The sequence below is a fragment of the Homo sapiens genome, chromosome 6 (genome assembly GCF_000001405.40).
Source record: "Homo sapiens chromosome 6, GRCh38.p14 Primary Assembly".
In the NCBI taxonomy this organism is placed as follows: Eukaryota; Metazoa; Chordata; class Mammalia; order Primates; family Hominidae; genus Homo; species Homo sapiens.
The window spans coordinates 154,606,052-154,630,509 of record NC_000006.12 but is presented as its reverse complement, the minus strand read 5'-3'; the positions used below and the strand labels follow the sequence as shown (position 1 = coordinate 154,630,509).

Sequence of the window (24,458 nt, the reverse complement as noted above, 5' to 3'; positions counted from 1 at the left end):
GTGGGTTTCTAATGTGTAATATCTGGTAGCCTTCTATGTCTCATAGACTGTAGCTTCATAAAGGCAAAAAATTCTTCCTGTTTATCACAGTGCCTGGTAATAATATGTCAGCAATAAGTACTTAAATGATCTACAACTTTTGAAAAGTGACACTTTATTTTTCTTGTTCCCCAGTCATGCAGTTCCCCTCTTCAGAGGCAACCATGACCAGTTTCTTCTGTATCCTTCCAGAGATATGGTTGGCATTTTCAAATAATCACATATGTAATTCTTCTCCCTTATTTCAACTTAAATAATGGTATTCTACATCTTACTTTTTTTACTTCTGAAAATATACCTTTTTTCTTTTTTTTTGAGGCAGGATCTAGCTCTGTCATCCATGCTGGAGGGTAGTGGTGTGAACACAGCTCACTGTAGCCTCAACTTCCTGGGGTCAAGTGATCCTCCCACCTCAGCCTCCAGAGTAGCTTGGACTACAGGCACATGCCACCATGCTGGCTAATTTTTAATTTTTTTGTAGAGACAGGCTGTCACTATGTTGTCCAGGCTGGTCTCAAACTAGGCTCAGGGGATCCTCCCACCTCAGCCTCCCAAAGTGCTGGGATTACAGGTGTGAGCCACTGTGCCTGGCCTATGTTAATTTCTGCTGCACATTAGAACATAAGGAGCCTCCTTAATTGTAGTTTGTTGGTTTAAACAGCTCTTTTGCATTCCATTCCATTATATGGAGTGCCATAATTTATTCAACCTGCCTACTCCTGATTGACTTTTAAGGTACTTCTGCCACTTTGCTACTTTATATTATAATGTAATTAATGAATAGTCTTAACTTTATCACTTTATAAATGTGTGGATATAAATGTGGGTTGTGTGTGTATGTGTGTGTATAGTTGGTTAGGTTTAAAAGTATGCACATTTTAAATGTAGTAGTTATTATTAAGTTGCTTCTATATGGGCATTGATTACATTTCAATCAGTGATATACAAGAATGTACCGATATACTACATTATTACACTTTTTATTTTTACAAATTTGACCTTTGGGAAAAAGTAGCTCAGTAAAGTTTGAATGAGTGTTTCCTTCACCTCAAGAGAGTCTGAACATCTTTTCATGTGTTAGAAAGCTACCTGTATTTCCCTTTCTGTGAACTGTCTGGTAGCACCTTTTAGCCATTTTTCTGCTGACTTGTTTTTTTTCCTGTTCATTTCTAGGATATTCTTATATATGAAAAAAATTAGCCTTTTGTCAATGATAGGAATTACAAATATTTTCCAATTAATCATTGTTTTTATGCAGTCAAGTTTTTTTCCTTTTTTTCCAGCTTTATGGAGATATTATTGACAAATAGAAAAATGTAATATTTAAGGTGTGCCATGTGGTGATTTGACATAAGTATGCCTGTGTAATGACTCCCACAATCAAGCTAACTAACATATTTATCACCTCACATAGTTACTTTTTTTATGAGTGTGATGAGAGCACTCTCCTTGTGTGAAGATCTACTCTCTCAGCAAATTTGAAGTATACGATACAGTATTAACTGTAGTCACTGTGCTGTACATTAGATGTCTGGAATGTAGTCACTCTATAAGCAAACATTCGTACCCTTTGACCAACATCTCCCAATTTTCAGTCAAGTTTAGCAGTTCTTTGTTGCATGATTTCTAGATTTTGAGTCACATTTGAAAAAGCTTTCTTCTTTTCCCCAGAAACCCATTGCTTGCTAAAAAAAAAAAAAAAAAGCCTTCTTATCTAGAGATCCAATGAGCAACAGGAGGACTCTAATTATAATATTATACTGTATACTGGAAACTTGCTAACAAACGAGATTTTAGGTGCTCTTACACACACACACACACACACACACACACACACACACACACAGAGAACTTGTGAAATAATGGCTATGCTAATTTGCTTGACTATAATAACTATTTCACTATGTATATCAAAACATCATGTACATCTTAAGTATATATGATAAAAATTAAAAAATAAAAAGGCCTTTTCCACTATGAATTTTATTTTTGAATTCTTTCACATTTAAAATCTCTCCCTCTTACAGTATTAATTACCTTGCCATTGTGTCTATTGTCATGAAGCTAGTTGCTATGTAAGTGATATGTGTGGACCCACTACGGCTCTTCGAAGTAACAGAAAATTAAATCTCATAACAGAAACATATCAGTGTGCCCAAGAAGGTCACGAAACATTTAAAGTACTACCTAGCAGATTGTTAACTGTGTAAATGTTGTTTTACGTAGTACAAGGTCTCCATTAGTTACTTTAAAAGAGATGTTTATATTACCACTTGAAAAATCTGTTCTGCATAATTTAAAGCTGAATGTAATTACACCTTTCAAAAGTAAACACGTTTGCAAAATCTCAGTGTTTCACATATTGGGTAAAATGATTCCTTTTTTTTTTTTGGAGACAGAGTCTCACTCTGTTGCCCAGGCTGGAGTGCAGTGGCGCAATCTCAGCTCACTGCAACTGCTGCCTCCCAGGTTCAAGTGATTTTCATGTCTCAGCCACCCGAGTAGCTGGGATTACAGGCGTGCACTACCACATCTGGCTAACTTTTTGTATTTTTAGTAGAGACAGGGTTTCACCATGTTGGCTAGGCTGGTCTTGAACTCTTGGCTTCAAGTGATCCACCCGCCTTGGCCTCCCAAAGTGCTGGGATTACAGGTGAGAGCCACTGCGCCCGGCCAAAATAATTCTTATTCATGTATTTTAGGATGCTTTTCCAAGTGAAGGAGGTCATTTTATAAGTTCAAATAATACAGAAGCTTTTTGGAACTTTTAACTCCACCAGTGTGGGAACGTGGAAAGGATTCCACAGAGGAAAGACAGAAAAGCTCAAAGATTTTGGGGCCAAATTCAGAATGAAAATTATTAATTTTCTCTGGCATTTTGATTACTTTTGCAGAAACGAATTAAGGACTTTGAAGTAATAGCAGATAATTCAACTGAGTGAAACATTTTGGTGTGTGTCCACTGAAGAGTAACCTTGATATCTACTGTGTCTTTCCTTAAAGTGTAGTGTAGGACAGACATGGAGTACGTATGGTAAGGACTTAAATAGGATTTCCACTGAAAGTTCAGTTTAACTACAGAAGTTAACTTAGAGATCATCTTTAGTCAATCTTCTCATTTTGTTGATTAAAACTCAAGAATCAAAAGATCAGATAACATGTAGACAATATTACTAGTGAATATCTTGTAAATGAAATATTTATGGATTCATAGAAGTGCATAAAATACATAAAATAAAAAGAAGAAATAAAAATGATTTAATCCATCATTCTTCCTAAGGGAAGGTAAAATGGGTTACCTTATAAAGAAAACATTTGATTACAGGTGGTGGCCCACGCCTGTAATCCCAACACTTTGGGAGGCAGAGGTGGGTGGATCACTTGAGATCAAGATTTTGAGACCAGCCTGGCCAACATGATGAAACACCATCTCTACCAAGAAATACCGGGTGTGGTGGTGTGCAACTGTAGTTCCAGCTGCTTGGAAAGCAGAGATGGGAGAATTGCTTGAACCCAGGAGGCAGATGCTGCAGTGAGCCGAGATCGTGCCACTGCACTCCAGCCTGGGCAACAGAGTGAGACTCTGTTTCAAAAAAATAAAAATAAATAAAACATTTGAAATAAAATTTCAATATAAAAAAATGTAAAGCCATCTTTGAAAGCTCAACTGAGTTATTTTAGAACAAACAAGAATGATTTTACTAGGTGAAGAGTAAGTACATGGAACGTATTTTTTTCAGAAAGTGCTCTCTGTTAAGTTTCAAAGAGATTAAGTTTACGAAGGATTATAATTTTCAAGAAAACCTAGGGCTTTCTGAGTACATTTTTGAGTTCTGAGTTTGACTTCATGGAAGTCAACCATGGCTTTCCAGATAACATTCTTGTCAGGAGAGTATAAGAGCCTGGTTTAATACAGTATGAGGTTTCCTAATGAAAGTCAGTTTCAATAGAAATAACATTATGTCCTTTCCAGTCATCTAAAACTGCCTTCCAGAGTATTTACCCTTAGAAATGAAAAACAAGTATCGGGAACAGTCAGAGATGCATGGAATTCTTTTGGCCCAGTGTCCAGATTATTAGAAAACCAATAAAGTCAATTGCCCATTTTGACTACTGGAATGGTATCAAGAAGCAAATTCAGGGAAATTCATCTTTGTGGGATTATTAAAAAAATAAAGTTTTGAGAGCCAGGGTGCTGTGGTAAGAACTAAAACTGATGAAAATATTTAAACACAAAAAAGACTGTTTAGAATTTGTCACTAAGTTTCATTATTTATATTGGTTGCTTTTCTTCTTAAAAAGAAAAAAAAAGGAAACTTCTCCACAAGTCATTGGCCCTAGGCTTTAAATTAAAGTGGCCCTTGGAGCTTAGGGGTTTTTAAAAACGCAAGTGAAGATTATTGAGCCACTGATTTCATGACTTGGGTTTTCTCTTTATCATTTGTTTATTAAATGGAGAGCAATGACAATTCAGGAAATTGAGGATAGATTGTGTGCTAAATACGAAAAAGGAAATAAGAGAGCAGAATTCTTCTGGGATGCATTCCTAGTTTTGTGTTTTTTTTTCCTCTCTCTCTCTTTTTTCCAACAGAGTTGAACCAGCTCCTGTGGCATGAGTCGCTTTAAATTCAAATTCTGGATGTTACTAAGCCAGACTTCCTTCTGTGAGAAAGATACTGTATATTTAAATAGACTTTTATATACCTGTTTATATACTTAAAGAAAACATTAAATTTTCTTTCAAAATTTTGTTCTAATGAATTGAAGTCTGCAGTAAATGAAATAGGTCTTCATTTAAAAAATAACTTAAAATTACCTTTTCCCCCTGCTTGCATTCCTGTCCCTGCTACCAAAATACATTAATATTGTATATATTCTATTGTAAATTGTATATTGGATACATACATTCGAAAAGTAATTTGGGAATAACATAATTTCTCTTTCTCCATGTTTGGGAACAAAATAAGAAATTCTAGTCACTATTTCTTAGGGTTGAGCAATGTGAGCTTTGGTAATTGGGTATTCTCTGTTTACTGGCTAGTGCTACTATTGGAATATAAACTCAAATAGCCTATACAGTCAGGAAAATGCTAAGGGAAGAGACAAAGACAGGGGTTCTCTGGTTGCAGTTGTATCTCTCTATCCCTTAGAAAGAAAAGATAAACTCAATTTGGCTGGCTTAACAATACATCCATAATATACTCATTCTTTCCTTCTCCTCCAAGCTAGAGATATAGAGAAGAATAAAAATATGTTTGTTTCGTTTTGTTTTTTCTTCTTGTGTGTTTAATAAAACCATCTCTGAGTTAATGTTGTGTATAATATCTCTTGAAAATCATTTAAATATTTGAGAAGTAGAATGGAGTAAGGACGTTGTATTAGTCTGTTTTCACACAGCTGATAAAGACATACCTGAGACTGGGTAATTTATAAAGGAAACAGGTTTAATGGGATCATAGTTCCACATGGCTGGGGAGGCCTCACAATTATGGCAGAAGGTGAGGGAGGAGCAAAGTCACGTCTTACATGGCAGCAGGCAAGAAGAAAATGAGAACCAAGCAAAAGGGGCTTCCCCTTACAAAACCATCAGATCTCATGAGACTTATTCACTACCACAAGAACAGTATGAGGGAAACTGCCCCCATGATTCAGTGATCTCCCACCAGGTCCCTCCCACAACTCATGGGAATTATGGGAGCTATAATTCAAGATGAGATTTGGGTGGGGACACAGCCAAATCATATCAGACCTTTTTATATTTGTTGATTGAGGACTGAAACCAGAGAGCTATCTTTCACCAGCATTACCTTGGTACAAATTTAAAAAGAGAGAAAAGGAAAAATATAATCCTTGATCTTAATTTGTCTTCCCACAAACTAGAGCAAAATAGTGAGATATTTCTAGGCTGAAACAAATATTCAGAATATAGCTGAATATAGGAAATCATAATATACCTTGAGGATAATTAGACTATTTCTTCTCAAGTTTGGATCTTTCACTTATTTTACTTACTCCCTGTCTCTCTCTGTAGTCTTTGGAGTGATATTTGTAAATTGTTCCTTGTCAGCATTTCAAGTCCCTTGGCATGTCGGAGAGACAGGCACATGTGAGTTTTGGACACTGCAAAGGTCACATTTGTGCTTTTTTTTTTTGACTCCTGGCAGTTAGAGAACAGGCCATCAGCTCAGGAATTCAGAGGCTCCTGGACTTGGAGAGACAGACGATGGGGTGGAGTCTGGCTACCTGGGCTTGCGTACCAGCTTCCCCACTTACCAGCTCTATAGCCTCAGGCAAGTACCCAGCCTCTGAGAGCCTCACTATCCCAACCTGTCAAACGGGATAATTACTTTCTTTTCTTTCTTTTTTTTTTTTTTTTTTAGATAGAGTCTTGCTCTGTCGCCCAGGCTGGACTGCAGTGGTGCGATCTCTGCTCACTGAACCTCCGCCTTCCAGGTTCAAGTGATTCTCTCACCTCAGTGTCCTGAGTAGCTGGGATTACAGGAACCTGCCACCACGCCCAGCTAATTTTTGTGTTTTTAGTAGGGACAGGGTTTCACCATGTTGGCCAGGCTGGTCTTGAACTCCTGACCTCAAGAGATCTGCCCACCTTGGCCTCCCAAAGTGCTGGGATTACAGGTGTGAGCCACTGTGCCTGGTCAAGGGACAATTAGCTTCTTCAGAGGGTTATCATGTGATAGAGTTTGGGTGTCCCCTCCAACTCTCATGTTGAGATGTAATTCCTAGTGTTGGAGGTGGGGCCTGGTGGGAGATGTTTGGGTCATAGGGGTGGATCTCTCATGGCTTGGTGCTGCCCTCACGATACTGAGTGAGTTCTCGCGAGATATGGTTGTTTAGAAGTGTGTTGCAGCCCCACCCCCCACCACTCTCTCTCTTGCTTCTGCTCTGGCCATATGATGTGCCTCCTCCCACTTCACGTTCCACCCTGAGTAGACGTTCCCTGAGCCCTCCCTGCAAGTGGAGTAGATGCAGATGCCATGCTTGTACAGCCTGCAGAACCCTGAGCCAACTGAACCTCTTTTCTTTATAAATTACCCAGTCGCAGGTATTCCTTTATAGCAATGCAAGAACACCCTAACGCATCATAAGTATGAACTGAGATAAAGGTAGCTTGCTTAGAACTGGGCTTCATAGGCAGTATGCTCACAGTAGGTGTGAACTCTTAGTGCTGAGGCAGGCAACGCCACAAAAGAAGGACACTTCAAAATTCATCCAGATCTTGGCAATGTCTTGTACCTGATATCTGGTGGTGACTTTGCACCCAAGCAGTTCCTTGTATGTGATCCTGGTTGTGAAAACCTTGGGTTTTGTGTTGTTTTCCAAATGTAGTCCTTCAGCCTTCCAGTTAGTTTTGTGAGCTACTCAGTAACTTTCCAGAACATTCTCTTTCTGCTTTATGCTTGCCTCTATCCATCCAGATGTGTACAATGTGTGACAATCAAATAAATGCCTGACTATTGTGTCAGACTGTTTTATTTCATGTATATATCAGCCTTTTCCTGATAAAAAGCGAGTTAGCTTCTCAACAACAAAGACTCTATCTTACCTTTTGTTTGTATCAGCCATAGAACCTTGGACTGTACTAGGCCCCAAGCCAGCACTGTGCCATGGTCTCCTAGCACCTGGGCTGGCACAGAGGAAGCCCAAGGGCATATCTAAAGACATGTTGGATGAAGAATGAATAAAGTATTCACTGGATATTACCTGACTCAGAGCTGAGACTGCTGAGCTATTGTATCAGCCTTATACCATCCTACCTTGTAACAGACTTCTGGTTAGGTGAGATAGAAATTCCTATATTACTTGTTATTTTTGATTGGGTATTCGGTAATTGTAGCCAACACATCCCGACATTAAGGTGAAACATTGTTTCCCTAGACTCTAACCTTTCTTTCTTGTTATCCATTTACTGCCAAAGAAGTACTTCTTTCCATTTTTTTTTTTTTTGAGAAGGGATATATTCACTGAGTGTGCTCTACAATGTTATCTTGGAAACAAATATTAACTTGCAAAGATTTTGTGTCATTCATCAAAATGAACTCCATCTCCTTTAATTCAGGAGAATCTCTTTTCTGTGTGATGGGCAAACATCACAACACATGGAATAAACGTAGATGAAAAACAAGATGGAGGCAAATGCTTTTATTTTGGAATAGAACCTTTTATAATGATTTTGCATTAGGTTTTGCACTAGTTAATTATCCCATTCATTAAGGGCTAATAAAGTGATTTAAATTATACATTGTCAGAAAGTGAAAATAAATGAAAAAAAATTTTTCTATTTAATTCTGAACTGCCTCAATGGCCTGTTTTTACAGAGGTACTTTAGCTTGAAATAACGGCTTGAATCAACACAGAAGAAGAAATTTGAGCGTGCACAGAAAATCCTTGGAAAGAGTTCTCTCAGAGCTTTTATCTGACCACCAACCTGAAATACTGATCACAAGACAGATCATCTCTCCATGTTGTCTCTCTTCAAGGGGTGTTAAACCGCAGCGCAGCCAGGTTGGAAAAAATTCAGATTTTAATAATATCCAGCTTTAGATGCCATCAGCAAGATGACATTTCCTGGAAAGAACTATGTTATTAAAGTATTATTATTTGGAGTGATTTGCTTGATATGATCAACAAAGAAAAAGTAAATTATCCAAATGGGACTTCTGGCAAGGAACTGCATTCTCATTAAAGGGGAAGTATTAGTGGGCCAGACAATTCAGACACATTTGAATAAACACTAAAGACGAACTTTTTTTTTTTTTTTTTGAGACAAATTCTTGCTCTGTTGCCCAGGCTGGAGTACAGTGGTGCGATCTTGGCTCACTGCGACCTCTGCCTCCTGGGTTTAAGCGATTCTTCTTCCTTAGCCTCCCCGGTAGCTGGGATTACAGGCAAGTGCCACCACACCCAGCTAATTTTTGTATTTTTAGTAGAGACAGGGTTCCACCATGTTGGCCAGGCTTGTCTTGAACTCTTGACCTCAAGTGATCCACCTGCCTCGGCCTCCCGAAGTGCTGGAATTACAGGTGTGAGCCACTGTGCCTGGCCAGAAGATGAACTTAATGTTAGAGAAGAGGAACTGTTCATGGAGACCAAAATAATTTGTAAGGCCAGTAATTCTGGTTTCGCCCACTTAGAAAGAATCAAACCAGGCTGACCTTTGCCAAACTTCTTGGCAGCCTTAGCTAGGGTTTATATTTAAGGAGAATTTAAAAGTCAAAAGAACAGAGTGTATACGATGTCATGTGCTTTATCATCGCCGTCTTTTAGATACTCAGACATAATGGCATAAAATCTGGAGCTCTGGCATTTCAGAAAAATACCAGAAAGTGTGTGTGTTTGTGGTGGAAGGGAAGGCAGACAATTTCAAATTCATTACCAGGGTGTCATCGAGCTTCAAATATACTAAGTTAGAGCTGATAGGCTTTGAATATATTACCAAATCTCATTTTGCCAACGAGAAGAATACAATACAAAAACTTTAACAATGACATTGTTGGGTTAGTTATAAAAGAGGCTATAGATAATTAAACAAAATGTATTCATTTTCATTTTTATAGTTTGGACAATTACTTTTGAAAAATATATAGATGAAAAAACAAGGAAAATTTAAGTTAGGTAAATGAAGTTCTGATACAGTTTCTTGACAAATTCCTGCCAATTGCTCTTGTATTAAATGCCAATATTATTTCCTTAATTATTGTATAAACACAAGATTTCTAAGTCTTAGATGTTCAATGATCTAACTCCAGTAGTATTTGATCCAAATTATAAGTGAAAGACATTAAACCATTTAGAATTACTTGAAGTAGGGTATGAACAGTATTATTGAATAATTATGAAAGTACTGAGATATAACTATTATTTTTTCCTAAAAAAATTATTTTTAGTGGATAAAATAAGATACACTTTATAATCTAATTTAAAAAATACTGATGAATTATATGGCTACTCATCTTCCAGGTTTTTTTATTTTATTTTTTTATCTTTTTTTTTAAATTTTTTTGAGATGGAGTCTCGCTCTGTTGGCCAGGGTGGAGTGCAGTGGCATGATCTTGGCTCACTGCAAGATCCGCCTCCTGGGTTCAAGCAATTATTCTCCTGTCTCAGCCTCCCGAGGAGCTGAGACTATGGGCGCACACCACCACGCCCAGCTAAATTTTTGTATTTTTAATAGAGATGGGGTTTTACCATGTTGGTCAGGCTGGTCTTGAACTCCTGACCTCAGGTGATCCACCTGCCTCAGCCTCCCAAAGTGCTGGTATTAGAGGCGTGAGCCATTGCGCCTGGCCTATCTTCCAGGTTTTATACTAAAAAAATGAACGTCTTGAATTATATTCTTCATCTGCAAAAAAGTGGTAGTTTCACTCAGGAACTTGCTCAAAAAATTAAACTTTATGCCAAAATGCCCCCAAATCTAGCCGAGGAGATGGATCCAAGAGTCACATTTTAACAGAAGGGGTGTGTTATGAATTTACCAATTGGCTATAGGCTGCAGGTGGTGATGGTTGAGTACATGTGAGGTGCAAAGAACCTTTGGCCAATCTTCGAAGTTTCTTTCAAATTTGTGGTGAATAGATTCCAGTGGATTATCAGAAGACAGTCTTTCCTACACTTCTGTGTAAAATTCTTTTTAGAGCAGTCCAAGACACTAAGAAAATTGAATTATGTTTACAGATGTCAACCTCCCTCTGCCTCTCTCTCTTTTTCTCTCTCCCCGGCTCCCTGCCCTGCCTTCCTCTGTCATATTCCCTTCATCCCCCTACACAGGATGGAGTGCCAGGTGATCCTAATTCAGAGTCTCTTTTTTAGCCCTTGGCACAAAACTCTCTGCACCTGGGTTCATTTTTCTTTTAAACAATAACCTACACATAGTCCAGAGTCTTTGACTAATATTTGTTGAGTTGAAATATAAAAACAAATTGTTAAAAATGGGATCTGAGCCTTTAGGGCTGATTCGTTTGCATTTGTTAATGCTGTTTGCAGCGAGTCTTGGCTCTGCTATCGTTAGGTGAGGAGCAGCCTGTCCAGGTTTCAGTAACTGTGGTTGTAGTCCAAGACTGGAGCTCCCGGAAAATCAAAGGGCAGCATGGAAAAGAGAGGTCTGGGAGTTCTTTTTTGCCTGGTTGTTTCGCTTTTGACTGGAACAATGTGTTCTTTCCATAGATGGAAAAAGATTCTGAATTTCAGAATTCACTTGGGGAGTTTTTTAACACCTGCATTAGGAAACATTTATGCATACTCAAGAATTTCCACATTCTTCTGCATTTCTTCACCTCCTATATAAAATATGGTCTCCCACTGGGGCTTTCCCCTGCTCGCTGTGCTGAACTCAAAGCTCAGTTGTTACCTTTATAATGGAATCCTGGGAAAGTTTCCCTTTTCATGAGTGAGGCTCCACCTAGAAGGCGAAAGAATTCACCAAAGCTAGAAGCTGGATGTCGCCATCTAAACTTCTGTGACCATATTTCATTGATTTGGAGGCACACACTTTTTCAAATTATTATTTCCAAAGCTGGGATGTGTGTTTCAATTGGTGGCATCTTACGTTCTATAAAATACAGTATAACAGCCAACAATTTCTGTTAACAGCGATAATTTCATCTCTTTGGAGGTTTCCAAAATCACATTGAGATCCACAGCTATGGAACTCTAAAACGCCTCTCAGTAGCTGTCTTTGTCCTATATACTTAGAGCCCTGTGAATCACTATATGGCTTTCAATCCTCTTAAGATCCTATGACTTGGCTGGGTGCGGTGGCTCACTCCTGTAATCCCAGCACTTTGGGAGGCTGAGGCGAGCAGATCACAAGGTCAGGAGTTCGAGACCAGCCTGACCAACATAGTGAAACCCCATCTCTACTAAAAATACAAAAATTTAGCTGGGCGTGGTGGTGTGCGCCTGTAATTCCAGCTACTCGGGAGGCTGAGGCAGGAGAATCGCTTGAACCTGGGAGGCAGAGGTTGCAGTGAGCCGAGATCGCCTCACTGCACTCTAGCCTGGGTGACAGAGAGAGACTCCATCTCAAAAAAAAAAAAATATTCCTGCAACTTTGGTTAGGATGGTGGTGTATCATTTGAATCAATGAAAGCTGGTTTTTATTTTGTTGTTTGTTTATTTTTGAAGACTAGTTCCTCATTCTTTGCCTGTTACACACAAAACCCACACAAAATAATTATGGTTAATACTTACTTAGTGTGGACTATATAGCAGGCAGTGTTCTAAATATTTGAAATATATTGTTACTGACTCTGCGCAACAACATGAGAAAGTTCCAATTATTATCTCTGTTGAACAGATGCTGAAATGGAAACCTAGAGAGATTAAGTAATCATGTTTAATAATAAGTATTGGAGCAGGGGTTTCAGGCCAAGCAGCCTGGCTCAAGGGCCCATCCTCTTATCATGCATTTATGACAATGTAATTGATAAGCACATAGGCTACAAGGAGACAAACCTCAAGCTAATACCGCCAAGAGCGATTACAGTTGTATTATTATCATGTTATTTGATTTAGTTCTGAGCTCTGAACTTCAGGGATACAATGAAAACTCAATAGAGTTTACTGTCCAGCTGAAAAAAAACCAATATAGAGATGCTCAGAGATAGACAACTGGGCCAGGATGTGAAAGGCAGGATATAGCGGCCATCTTTGTTTTAACTTCTCTATGCTTGAGTATTTTTGTAAATTACCTCACATGTGTCATTGCCTTAACTATCCAACCCTATCATTCCGTTTTCCTCAGACTTGTCTGAAAATAGGTGTTGGCTGTTTTTGAAGGTCGAGGCCAACCTCAAAGAGTAAGGATTTTTCACCACTGAAAAATTTCAAAAGAATATGCTGTGGTCTGTGAAGGTAATTCTAAAAGAAGCTCTCCTACATTTTTAAACAATGGAAAGCTCACTGGAAAAAGCGGATGTTCTCCGGGACTGACCTCTTTAAATGGAGACATGCTCTTTAGATGCTCTAGTCATGGATATTTATTTTTAAATATGGTGTGTTTTATGGTTAGAGTTCATAGATTACTTAAAACAGGATTAACCTCTTAATACATTGCAGAGATGATTAAACTACATGCCTATCCTTTGCTTGCATTCTTCAAGAAAAGTGATGCAATATATTTTCCTTTTGGTTTTGAATCCACAGTTGGTAAGGATATCATTTGGTTTTCTATCCTAAAAGTCTATTTGTATGTCATTATTCTAGATCAAGATTGTGCTATAGAATAGATTCTCCTGACAAAAGGAAAATTCCAACTTATCCCATGAATAAAAAATAGATTCTATTTGAATAATCGAACAACATGCCAATATTTTCCCTTTATTTCTCATTTTACTTTATTAATCTATTGATCTATCAACTAGACTCCCAAAAGGTCAATTAAAATGTCAATATATTTTTGTGTAGTATTGTCATTATTATTTCTTTCTTTCTTTTTTTTTTTTCTCGAGACAAAGTCTCACTCTGTCCCCCAAGCTGGAGTGCAGTGGCATGATCTCAGCTCACTGCAACCTCTGCCTCTTGGGTTCAAGTGATTCTCCTGCCTCAGCTTCCTGAGTAGCTGAGAATACAGACATGTACCACCACGCCCGGCTAATTTTTGTATTTTAAAATTTTGTAATTTTTTGTATTCTAAAATTTTGTAATTTTAGTAGAGATGGGGTTTTGCCATGTTGGCCAGGCTGGTCTTGAACTCCTGACCTCAGGTGATCCGCTCGCTTCGGCCTCCCAAAGTGCTGGGATTACAGGCATGAGCCACCACACCCGTCTGTCATTATTATTTTATACAAATGTTAATCTTGCCCTCCAGGTGCATTCAGAGAGGCAAAGTATTCTTTTGGTACCCAGTAAGGCTCCACTCTTTCCTGTGGGCCACAGTACAGGATTATGGAGATGGAGTTGTGTTGGAATTGACGGTGGCTAGTTGAAGACTGGACTGTGGCCCAAGCTCCTTTCTTCCTATTCCGTAAACCTATATGTTACTCCTACATGTTAAGTGGGTATTCTGGGTTCCAAAAAAATTATGTAAAAGTCACAAAAACATTTTTAAACATTCAACAATCAGCCATTTTGATTCTTGAATTGGGCATTATTTCCAATCAAGTAAATTTTGGCAAAAATTTTTTTAGTTGTGAAATGTTTATTAAATACCCACTATGTAGGCCAGGCATAATAATTGCATTTTATCCTTATTTCTCTGCCTTTGGAGCTTGGATGTTGCTGTGAATCTGAAGAACATTTTAGATTTCCTCACACGTGAACTGGAGGCTAAGGTGGGATGGATAGTGAGCTATTTTTTTTCCATATTAATTTTTAAGTTTTAAAGAATTTAAGTTTTAATCAACTATAACTTTATATGAAAATGCTCCTCATTAGGGTAACCAAAAGCCCAGCTGTTTTAGGCCTGAAGAGAGTGATTTACTTATCTCATGTAAGTGATTTATTGAGAGAGAAGCCTCTACCGAAGTGAGGAAACAGCAAGAGAAGAAGCAAAGACGCGGCTTTTGCGGAAGCCCAAGGGTGGCTCTGCAACGTGCGGGGCGCCCCATACGTGGCCCCCATCCAGCAGGGGGGTTGTGCTCTGCAGCTCCGCCAGGGCCTTGCCGGAGGCACATCACCTCCTGGAGGCAGCAACCTCCCAGGAGCTGAGCACGGTTCTTCCGAGAAGGAGGCAGCTGTGAGCCACCAGCAGCCGCCACTCACCACAGCAGTGGGGTGGAGGCACTGCCTGGTGAAGGAACTGGGCAAGACGCCAACAGTGTCCACAACAGGCTCCAAGGAAGCCGGAGAGGGAGCAATCAGCAGTGATCTCAAAGAAATGAGAAACTGCCATTTGGCTGCCTGTTGACTTCTGGAATTATCCAGTTTAGGTAATAAAGAGACGTTGTTTATTGATTGGGAAAAGTGAATCTGCACATAACTGTGTTTAAAAATCAAGAAGCAAAGGGGACTTGAATACTCTTACCATAGACTTTTGAGAAGTTGAAGTTTATTGCTAATTTAGTAAACCTGAGATCAAGTTGTCCATCTTCTCCTAAACTGCTTTTGGTACCTTTCTGGGGGAAGTGGAGTCTAGTTGAAGATAAAAAAAAAATTCCCAGCAACCAATATCTGTTTTATTAGCAACTGAAAGGAAAATTTTTTTTTCTTTTTAAAAAGTAATGATTTGATTTATTTGATAAAATACCAGAACAACTGCATGCTCATTGGTATCATTCAGAGTTCTAAGAGGTAAAGAAAGACAATCATTTCATCTCTACACACCCTCCTGAGGTTACCACCATTAAGGGTTTAGTATTATTTTACCCATTTCACAATGTGAATATAAACACAGAAAACATACAACATTCTTAGGGCTTCCTTTTCTATTTTTTAATAAAAGAGAGTACTTTTTTTTTTTTAAAGTAGATATATGACATGGTCTGACCCAGGGTTCAGTGAGCAGGCTTTGTGCTTACTCTGCTTTCAAATGATTAAAAATAAAATTCCATGCGTAGGGACACAGAGGTAAGGGTCATAGGATATCACATCTGGTCAAGAGGAAACGTGGCCCTCGGTCAGGGGAAGAGGACTGAAACAGCGGCACTGTGAGGTTGATGCCCTTGACCACAAGATCAGTCTTTAGGGTTTTGAACTACTTAAGATCCTGACTATTTTGAAGTCACTTTGGCAGTGAGCTGACATGTTTTATTTTTATGTTTTGGACCATATCTTTGGCAGGCTATCTGTTGTTCTTCCCTATGACTCTATGCAGAGGCAGCATCAACATTTCCCTTCTTGAAAACAAGCTGGTGTTTTACTTTAGTAGACACTACCCTGAATCCCTGAGTCAAGGAACTGTTTAGAACTGAAAGGGGACCATGCAGATATGGCCACCCCACTCTAGGCCAGTGAGTGTGAGACACGTGCCCTTGTCCACGCAGCACGTCGTTTTGAGGTTCTGATAGCTTGTCCAACCTCCTGGCACTTCACTGGCCCCACTTGTGTTTTACTATTTTACTGATGAGGAAATAGAGGCTCAGAAGTTTGCATAACTCTCCCGAGGTCACACAGTTAGACCGTGGGATGCTCTTGAGTCTGGGTTTGTTTAACTCCAGATGCCATGTGTCTTTCACTGCATCATATCCACCCATAATCCTGTGCCCGGATGTTTTACCAAATGGTGGAAATGACACATCTATCCACATGAAACAACTCTATCCAGATATTGAGTTGAGAGAAACAAAGTGAGTCAAGATTGAAGTGGATATGATTAAAAGAAGGTAGGATTGCAAGCCACTCGATTTGAATTCCAGGGCAGCTATGTGGTCCTAGACAAGTCACCTAACTTCACTGGCCTCAGTCCCTCATTTGGTAATTAAGGGTGTGAGCAATAGAGTAGAAGTTCCAGTGCTAACATTTCTGATTCTGGTTGAGGAAGCTGGAAGGAAAGCCATATGAACTTGGTCTTAAAGGGAGAAGTGAAGGAATGGCTGACGGACAGTCCGGATTGAGGGAGTAAAGTAAGCAAAGGCTCAGAGATGAGTTCAGACACACTATATTCCTGGGACTGTGATAGATCTCATAGCATTTGTTCACAAAGTAAGTTAGTGTGCTTGGATAAAGGGCTAGACCTATGCCAAGTAGGAAGTATTTGGAGACACCTACATACCCCACTCATTGTTGTGGATCTCATATCTATTCCCCACCCTGCCACCCCACCATAAAAGCTTTCTTATTATCCACTCTGAGAAGGTGAATTGGAAGTTTAATAATTCTTAAGAGAAGCTTTTTCTTATTGACAAGGAAAAAGATCTAATGTGGACTAGGGATTTGGGAAACTTGTGCACATGTGCTGAGTCAGGAGGTTTGAGCTTATCTCTCCTACTATCTGGTTGGGTGTCAATTCCATTGAAGCAATAATTATGAAGGGCTGATTACACATATGACGTTATGGCTAAAAGCAGCCCACAGCCTAATGAGTCATGAGCTAAAGGACTGTGAAACTCCTAAGAGCTGTGAGCAGGAGCTATGGGAAGTGAGTGGCTAAACCAGGCCAGAGGCACCGGAGAAGACTTCCCATAGCAAGCGTCATTTGAACTGTACCTTGAAAGAAGGAAAGAGGAAGGAGGGAAAAACAAACCAGATGAAGGGAAGAGCATGAGGAAAAGCACAAAAGCATGACGTGCACAAGGTGATCAGGAAATGACAAGCCCTCTCTGACACTGCAGGATCCGCCACATGGAGGGTTGGAGAAGGCACGTCGTTGAACATGGGCTAAGGTCTCATCCTGGCTCTTCATGTTCTGAGCAAATGTTTCTGAACTGTTAAGGCACGTGAATGGCCACACCATGTCCTGTGGCGTAGCGTGGGATTCTGCAATTGTACCCAGATTGTCGTCACATTATGGTTGCAGGACAGAAAAAATGGAATAAGGCATCTGACTGAAATCAAATGGCAAACTGAGCAGGTTTATTGAGGTTAATGGGCTAAAACACAGAAGGGTGTGGAACCAAGTAGGGAAAGAACTAAAATGTGGTTTTCGTAAACACTTTGGAATAAAATTGTATTGTACAAATAAATTCAGATCCAGTCAGAATCATCAGAGATGATTCAGTAGTTCAGGAAATAAAAAAATCGATTTTTATTATGTTGTTCTATGTTGAAACCTTGTTAATTGGTCTTTAAATTAAAACTAATTAAATGGACACACCCTACTTCAAAAAAGGCACAGTTAAGTGATGGGTGTTTCTTAAAGTGGGTTTAGTACTATTGTTCTTGGACTGGAGGGTGAGGGGTGCCCCCTTATGAAAATAATTTCAATACATACTTAAAAGGTGATTCATTGTTTAAGAGTAGAAGTTTGCACATTTATATTTTTCATCTGAGGGCTCGGAAAATTATGTATTATATGTATCTAGGTTGGTGCTCATTCATTCATCAACCATTTATACCAAGTCCTTACTATCCTTGGTACTTTGCTGGTAGGAGGAAGAAAATTTCTGGGTAGAATACCATGGGGTTGCTTAAGAATCTCAATAAGAAGACCAAACAACCAAGCCGCAGTTTAAAAGTATTATGTAAGCATACGCAAATTTTAATTTTATTAAATATTTACATATGTAAATATTGGAGAAGCTGGGGCAAAAAATCGCACAGTTCCCCGAAATAAAACTCTGAGAGCTATTTTTAGCTCTTCTTTCTTCCTTCATCTGCTCCCAAACCACCCCATCCAACCCCACACTAATTCAATCTGTCACCAGTTCCTACCAAGGTTACCTCTGAAGTGTAATTGATTGGTTATTTTTTCTTCTCTTCTATCTCTGCTTTGGGCCTATTGTCTAACGGGAATTTGGTTACCTGATGAGACATATAAAGCCATTAATCTCCTTATTTGTAGACATTTCTGGGTTTGCATAAAATAGCATTGCTCAGCACAGTTTTACCCACTTTGTTCATCAAAGTATGTACCAAATGGCTTTTGGTCTTTTTCAGTCATATATCCAGATCAATGGTTCTCAAAGTGTTCCCAACATCCCTGGCATCCTTGAAACCTTTTCAGGGGGTCTGTGATGTGAAAATATTTTCATAGTAATAGTAAAACGTTATTTTCCTTGTTTACCTTCATTCTTTAAGAAGTAGAAAGTGGAGTGTTTTAGAAGCTACAGGACATGGGATGTCCTATCTCTGATGGCTAATGGAAAGTGTCCTTAGGCATTCTTGTGTTTTAAATTTGTCTCAAGTTATACTTATAATGTATTAAAAATAGATATAACCCACAACAGTGAAAACTCTCCGGGTTCCCAGTAGTTTTTAAGAGTGTAAAGGGCTCGTGAGAGAAACTGTTAGGATCGTGGGCCTACGTGAATGCCTTCCATAACTGGGCTTCCTTCTTCTCATGCTTCTCTGATCTCACCTTTATTCTGATCATCCTCTACGTGTCATCCACACTGACAACAGAGTCATCTTCCTGAATCTCAGGTCTGGTAGTTGCTATGAGTTTAGAAACTTCCAACAGCTTCATGTTTTTTGTGGTTTTTTTTTTGTTTTTTTTTTTTTTTCCCCACAGAATGATGCCTTAGATCAGCACTGAGATGCTGTCACAGTCTGGCCTAAACCTTCTTTTTTTCCAGTTTCAACTTTCACTACACATCATCTACACTATCCCCTAGACATATGCAGCTGAGGTTGGCCAAAGATAGCAATTCAATGAGTATCCTTTCTTATACCTTCCCAGTTAAGATGAAAAATTCCAGAATCTATAGTCCCAAAGTATAGTGTTTACACCTTTATTTGTCACTTACTATAGTTTGACTAGTGTGATAACTGTGTAGCTCTTCTTCCACCCCTTGAATGTGAGTTCCTTAGGGACAGGACCTTGTCTTTTTATTCTTGCAATACCTCAGACCTAGACAGTGCTAGGCTTATTACATTTAATAAAAACAACTTTATTGAATACATGGTTGAACAAATTATTGCGATAACCAGATTCTATTGTCTACATATGTAAGCATTTTGTAATAGGTATGAATTTAGTTATACAATATTAAGACTGATTTTTGAACCTGTTTTCCTGGTGAGACATATAAGACCATTCATCTCCTTAGCGGTAGACATTTCTGGACTTGTATAAAATAGCATTGCTCAGTGCATTTTTACCCACTTTGTTCATCAAAGTAGGTACTAAATGACTTTGATCTTTTTCAGTCACATATCCAGCCTCAAAGCATTGAGATTTGCCAGCACTGAGATTATGAAAAGGAATATGTCTTATGACTTTGGACTTAATTACAGTTCTGTTCTATCCCATTCAATTCAACAGGCACTTATTGAGCTAGCAGCTCTGTAGGCAGCTCTGCGGATATGGAGACGAATGATACAAGACTCCTGCCTTTGAGAAGCTCACAGGCTAATCTAGAGAACAACGAGATAAACACGTAGACACAGCTCATCATGATAAGGGTAAAAATAGGGAACAAATGCAGGACCAAAAAATGATGAATTCTCTCTCAGGGAGGTGGTGATATGACGGTAAGAAAAGGGTTTTCAGGGAACGTGTCTCTGAAGATAGGATTTTATGGAGGAATTGGAATTTCTTAGATGGATGAGGAATGGGAGTAGAAGGGGGAAGGTTTCCAGCAAGAAGACATTTGTCTCGAGGAAAGTGGTTTAGAGGAAACAGTTGGAGGCCTCGATCACGAAGGTCTCATTTTACATGTCTGGATCTGATCCTGTAAGTGCTAAAAAATTTTAAGTGAACAATTCTAAAATTATCTAGAGTAGTAACATCAGGGTTGAATGAAGTGTGTGCCTGCCAGGAGTACTAATTTGGAAGGCTTACACTGATTTGAGTATACGAGCTCTGATATATTTATTTTGAAAATCAGTTTGTTTATTTTTTATTTTCTGTATTTTTAATGGACCATTAATAATTGTGCAGTTACAGCATTTTAGACCACATTTCATACAACAGATATCTTTTTAAAAGCTAATTTCTTACTTATGGCTTTCACTTAATTTTACAGATATTTATTGATCATCTACTATGTGTCAGACACCTTTTCTGTGAACTTGGGAAACACCAGTGAACAAAACAGACAAAGATCCCTGCCCCCATGCATCACACATTCTAGTTTTCTTACTCTATAGTCCCTTCTTGAGGGTTTGTGTGAAGAAACTGCCCAGATATTAGGATGGGAAAGATGCTAGTGAAGTTAAAGCATAGTGACTTCTCTTCCCTTTCTTATTAAGAAAACCTTGAAAGGTGCATTTGCAGGTGGATAGGTGAGGAAAAGGACATATTGTGGCAATGGGTTACAATGGGTTACGACAGAAAACCCTTGCTTTTTCTCTTGACCCGTTTACCAGTGATTTAAAAATTGGAAGTCTTTAGGCCGGGCCCAGTAGCTCACACCTGTAATCCCAGTATTTTGGGAGGTCGAGGTGGGCAGATCACTTGAGGTCAGGAGTCCAAGACCAGCCTGGCCAACATGGTGAAACCCCATCTCTACTAGAAAAAAAAAAATTTAGCCGAGTGTGGTGGCACACGCCTGTAGTCCCAGCTACTTGGGAGGCTGAGATGAAAGGATTGCTTGAACCCAGGAGGCAGAGGTTGCAGTGAGTTGAGATCATGGCATTGCACTCTACCCTGGGTGACAGAAGAGAGCACATACCTCCCGCCCCACCTAAAAAAAAGTCTATATTTTTTAGAACAATTTGAGATTCACAGGAAAATTGAGAAGAAAGTACAGAGAATTCCCATTTACCCTCAACTGGTTTTCCCTATTATTAACATCTTACATGAGTATGCATATTTGTCACAGTTAATAAACCAATATCCATTATATTAGCTAAAGTCCATACTTTATTTAGATTTCATAAGTTTTCCCCTGATGTCCTTTTTCTGTCCCAGGTTCCCACATTACACTTAATCGTGCCTCTTAAGCTCCTTTTGGCTGTGACAGTTTCTCAGGCTTTCCTTATTTGGGGGAGTTTTGAGTAGTACTGTTGAAGTATATTGTAGAATGTCCTTCAGTTGAGATTTTCCTCATGTTTTTCTTATGATTGGACTGGGGTTACGGGTTTTTTGGGAGGAAGGCCACAGACGTGGAGTACCATTCTCATCAAATCATATACAGCGTACAGACTACCAAATGACTTAACACTGTCGATGTTGACCTTGATCACCTGGCAGAGGGGCCGTTGGTCGGGTTTCTCCACTGTGGAGTTACCCCACACCCGCTTTCCATACTCTGCTCTTTGGAAAGAAGTCACTATGGGCAGCCCACATTTAGGTAAAGAGTTTGCTTCACCTCCTCGATAGTATCTACATAAATTACTTTGAATTCATTTGCATAGGAGATTTGTCTCTTCTCCTTCATTTGTTTATTTATCACTGGTGACTTTTTACTGTTTCCATGAATCAAGTACTCAAAAGACATATTCACTGAGGGCTTACTATAAGAAGGCATTAGTAGTACATTGTTACTGAGCAATATTTTGTTTTATTTTTTTCAGAGACAGTTCACTTAAAAATGAAGAACTTGGATTTCTTGTCCCACCTCTGACACTACGAGGAGGCTTCAGACAATTAATTTCACGCCCAAGCCTCAGTTTCCTCTTCTGGAAAATTAGATGATGGAAAGGAATGAATTCTGACATTTTTTCCAGCATTGAAATTGTAGGGTTATATAATATATTCATAGAATAGGCTTCAAATAGTCTACAAAAGGAAATTATTAATATCTGTAGTGGGCAGGCCCAACTCAGTGAAATCTGTGTTTCAAATCTTCCTTCTCATTGCCTCAGGAAATGTATATTTTGTCTGCCATATTATTTTCTTATGACTCAGAGTTAAAATATATATACCCAATGAAAATATCAAGTGGATGAAGTTAACCTTGTTAGTAGCATATAATATTTTATGACAAAGAAAAAAATGCCAGACCATCTGCAAATGACTGTTTTATGGATTTAATAGAAACCACCACTTATGGAAAAAGCACCATGGAATAAAAACAAAACAAAGGAATTTGAAATCTGTTCTAACACCAAATGGAGGTGGTATGGCCATGACATGTGGGCTCTTCCTCACTGCCATCTCTGTTGGGAAAAAGAAATACGAAAAAGTGAAAAAAGCAGAGGAAACCTGGGGGATGAAAAGCATGGTTTAGACTCGAGAGAAAAACATATAAACATTCATTTCTTGCTTCTTCTGAAGCTCCTCTTTGGCCTAAAGAAAGGAGGCCCCAAGGAGGAGGTCTCAGTGTTGAGTGCCGGTTGGCACTTGGCTTTACTTTACGGAAAAGGCAAAGTAACTTTTTTTCTACTCTTGCCCTTTGCAAACTTCATCAGGCTTTTCTGGGCAGCTGGAGTCTCTCTTTTCACTGATGAATGTCTTTTAATGCATTTCTTGCAAATAGCATTTAGTGGATGTTCTTGCCAGTGGTTTCTGGGAAGATTTACTCTAGTCAACTCAATAGTTGTCAAGGCAAATTATAGTTCAATATAATTCAAAGAACAGAGCGCCATGACAATCCCTGCCTCTACGCCCCCTTTCCATTGCCAGCTGTCCCACCTGGGACAGGTCAGTTACCCTCCCTTGGCTGCGGTTGCCTCTGCGGTAACATTTTTCCTGCCTGTTCTGAAAAGAACGACACAGATGACCTCTTGAGGTCCCTTCCATGCCTGTGTTTCCTGGGGAACAGGTCCAAAGTAGCAAAAGTTGGGACTGAGGTGATGCAGCCAGTGTCAAATTGTCGCAAAGTGCCTGTGACATGCAGAGTGCTTTACTATGCATTATGGAGGAGAGGTAAGTAAAATAGACTCTCCAGGAACTTACACCTTGGTCAAAAATAAACAATAACTCAAAGCAGCCTAGAAGAGGTCTGTGGCAGGAGGACAAGCACTCAGGGAGCTCAGAAAGCCCTTCTGCCCCCTCTCCTGAAGGCCCAGCCTCTCTGCTCTGTCTGGAAGGGGATTGGAAGCCAAGGAAGGATGGGGGAGAAGGCAAGGAAGGAGATGGAGCTGGGAGGAGCACTGAAGGGTGCATATTTTCCATCTAGCAACGATTGTGGGGGCCCAGAAAAGTGACTCCAACCCCCTACACCAGGGTAGAAACTGGAGGTCAGGCTTTTCTCAGCCTTGTTTTTGGCTCAGAACTGAAGTTGCAGGAGGAAGGCTGAAGACAAGGGGCTGCCGCCATCAGACGAGGGAAAGTCCCTGCACGTCAGGCTTTGTCATGATCACTAGCCTCTCCCAGACACAGCCAGCAAATGGGTGGTTCCCCAACATGTGGGCATGAGAAGAAAAGACCTTCTGTGCTGATGTGGACCAAATTCCCCCACGAGTCTGCGTGGGAGGTGGGCGGGTGTGAATGACAGAGAGAAAAGAGGATGTCACCGCTGGGGGCTGTGAGGCAGGGTGCACGTCCTTTCTAGGTGGAGTAGGAGGTGAGGGAAAGGAGGAGGACTCCAACACTAAGGCATCCACTCAGGGCTGGGTGATTCCCATGACAACGAATACGTGTGTAATTCTCATGAGATAACAACAAATACAAGTAATTCTCATGAGATAACATTTCCATTGGATTGATGAAGAAACATGAGGTTCTGGGGCCCTAGATAATTTAGTTCCCAGAGTTAATGGCAAAACCAGGAATTAAAACAAGATCAGTCCAAATCCACAGCCCAAGCCTTTTCTACTGCTCTCCACTGCCTTGTATGATGACCGCCTCCACGTTGTTTGAGGGATGTGTCAGCCGTCTCACGCATGAGGGAAGGGGTGGTGCATTTCTCCCATCTATCCACCTGATGTACAGTTGGAAATTCCATTATGTGGCATTCATTTTTAAGGGGTGGTAGAAATAATCTCTCTTTAACTAGCCCCCTTTTTAACGTGCAAAGGCCGCCCCCGCCTCCAACTTT

The 24,458-nt window shown here is 39.6% G+C and overlaps 3 annotated features.

Moving 5' to 3' along the window:
- Window positions 12,580-12,749: an enhancer, noted in NCBI's record as "experimental_91055 CRE fragment used in MPRA reporter constructs". NCBI's record gives its function as "activates a minimal promoter by MPRAs in K562 erythroleukemia cells, with activity observed for both the introgressed and non-introgressed 6:154938980 variant alleles {active_cell/tissue: K562}" and the evidence as "EXISTENCE:reporter gene assay evidence [ECO:0000049][PMID:34662402]".
- Window positions 14,642-15,148: an enhancer, noted in NCBI's record as "H3K4me1 hESC enhancer chr6:154936496-154937002 (GRCh37/hg19 assembly coordinates)". NCBI's record gives its function as "activates a minimal SCP1, AML or CMV promoter by ChIP-STARR-seq in naive H9 embryonic stem cells {active_cell/tissue: H9 hESC(naive)}" and the evidence as "EXISTENCE:reporter gene assay evidence [ECO:0000049][PMID:30033119]".
- Window positions 23,685-23,984: an enhancer, noted in NCBI's record as "active region_25297". NCBI's record gives its function as "activates an Ori minimal core promoter by ATAC-STARR-seq in GM12878 lymphoblastoid cells {active_cell/tissue: GM12878}" and the evidence as "EXISTENCE:reporter gene assay evidence [ECO:0000049][PMID:35858748]".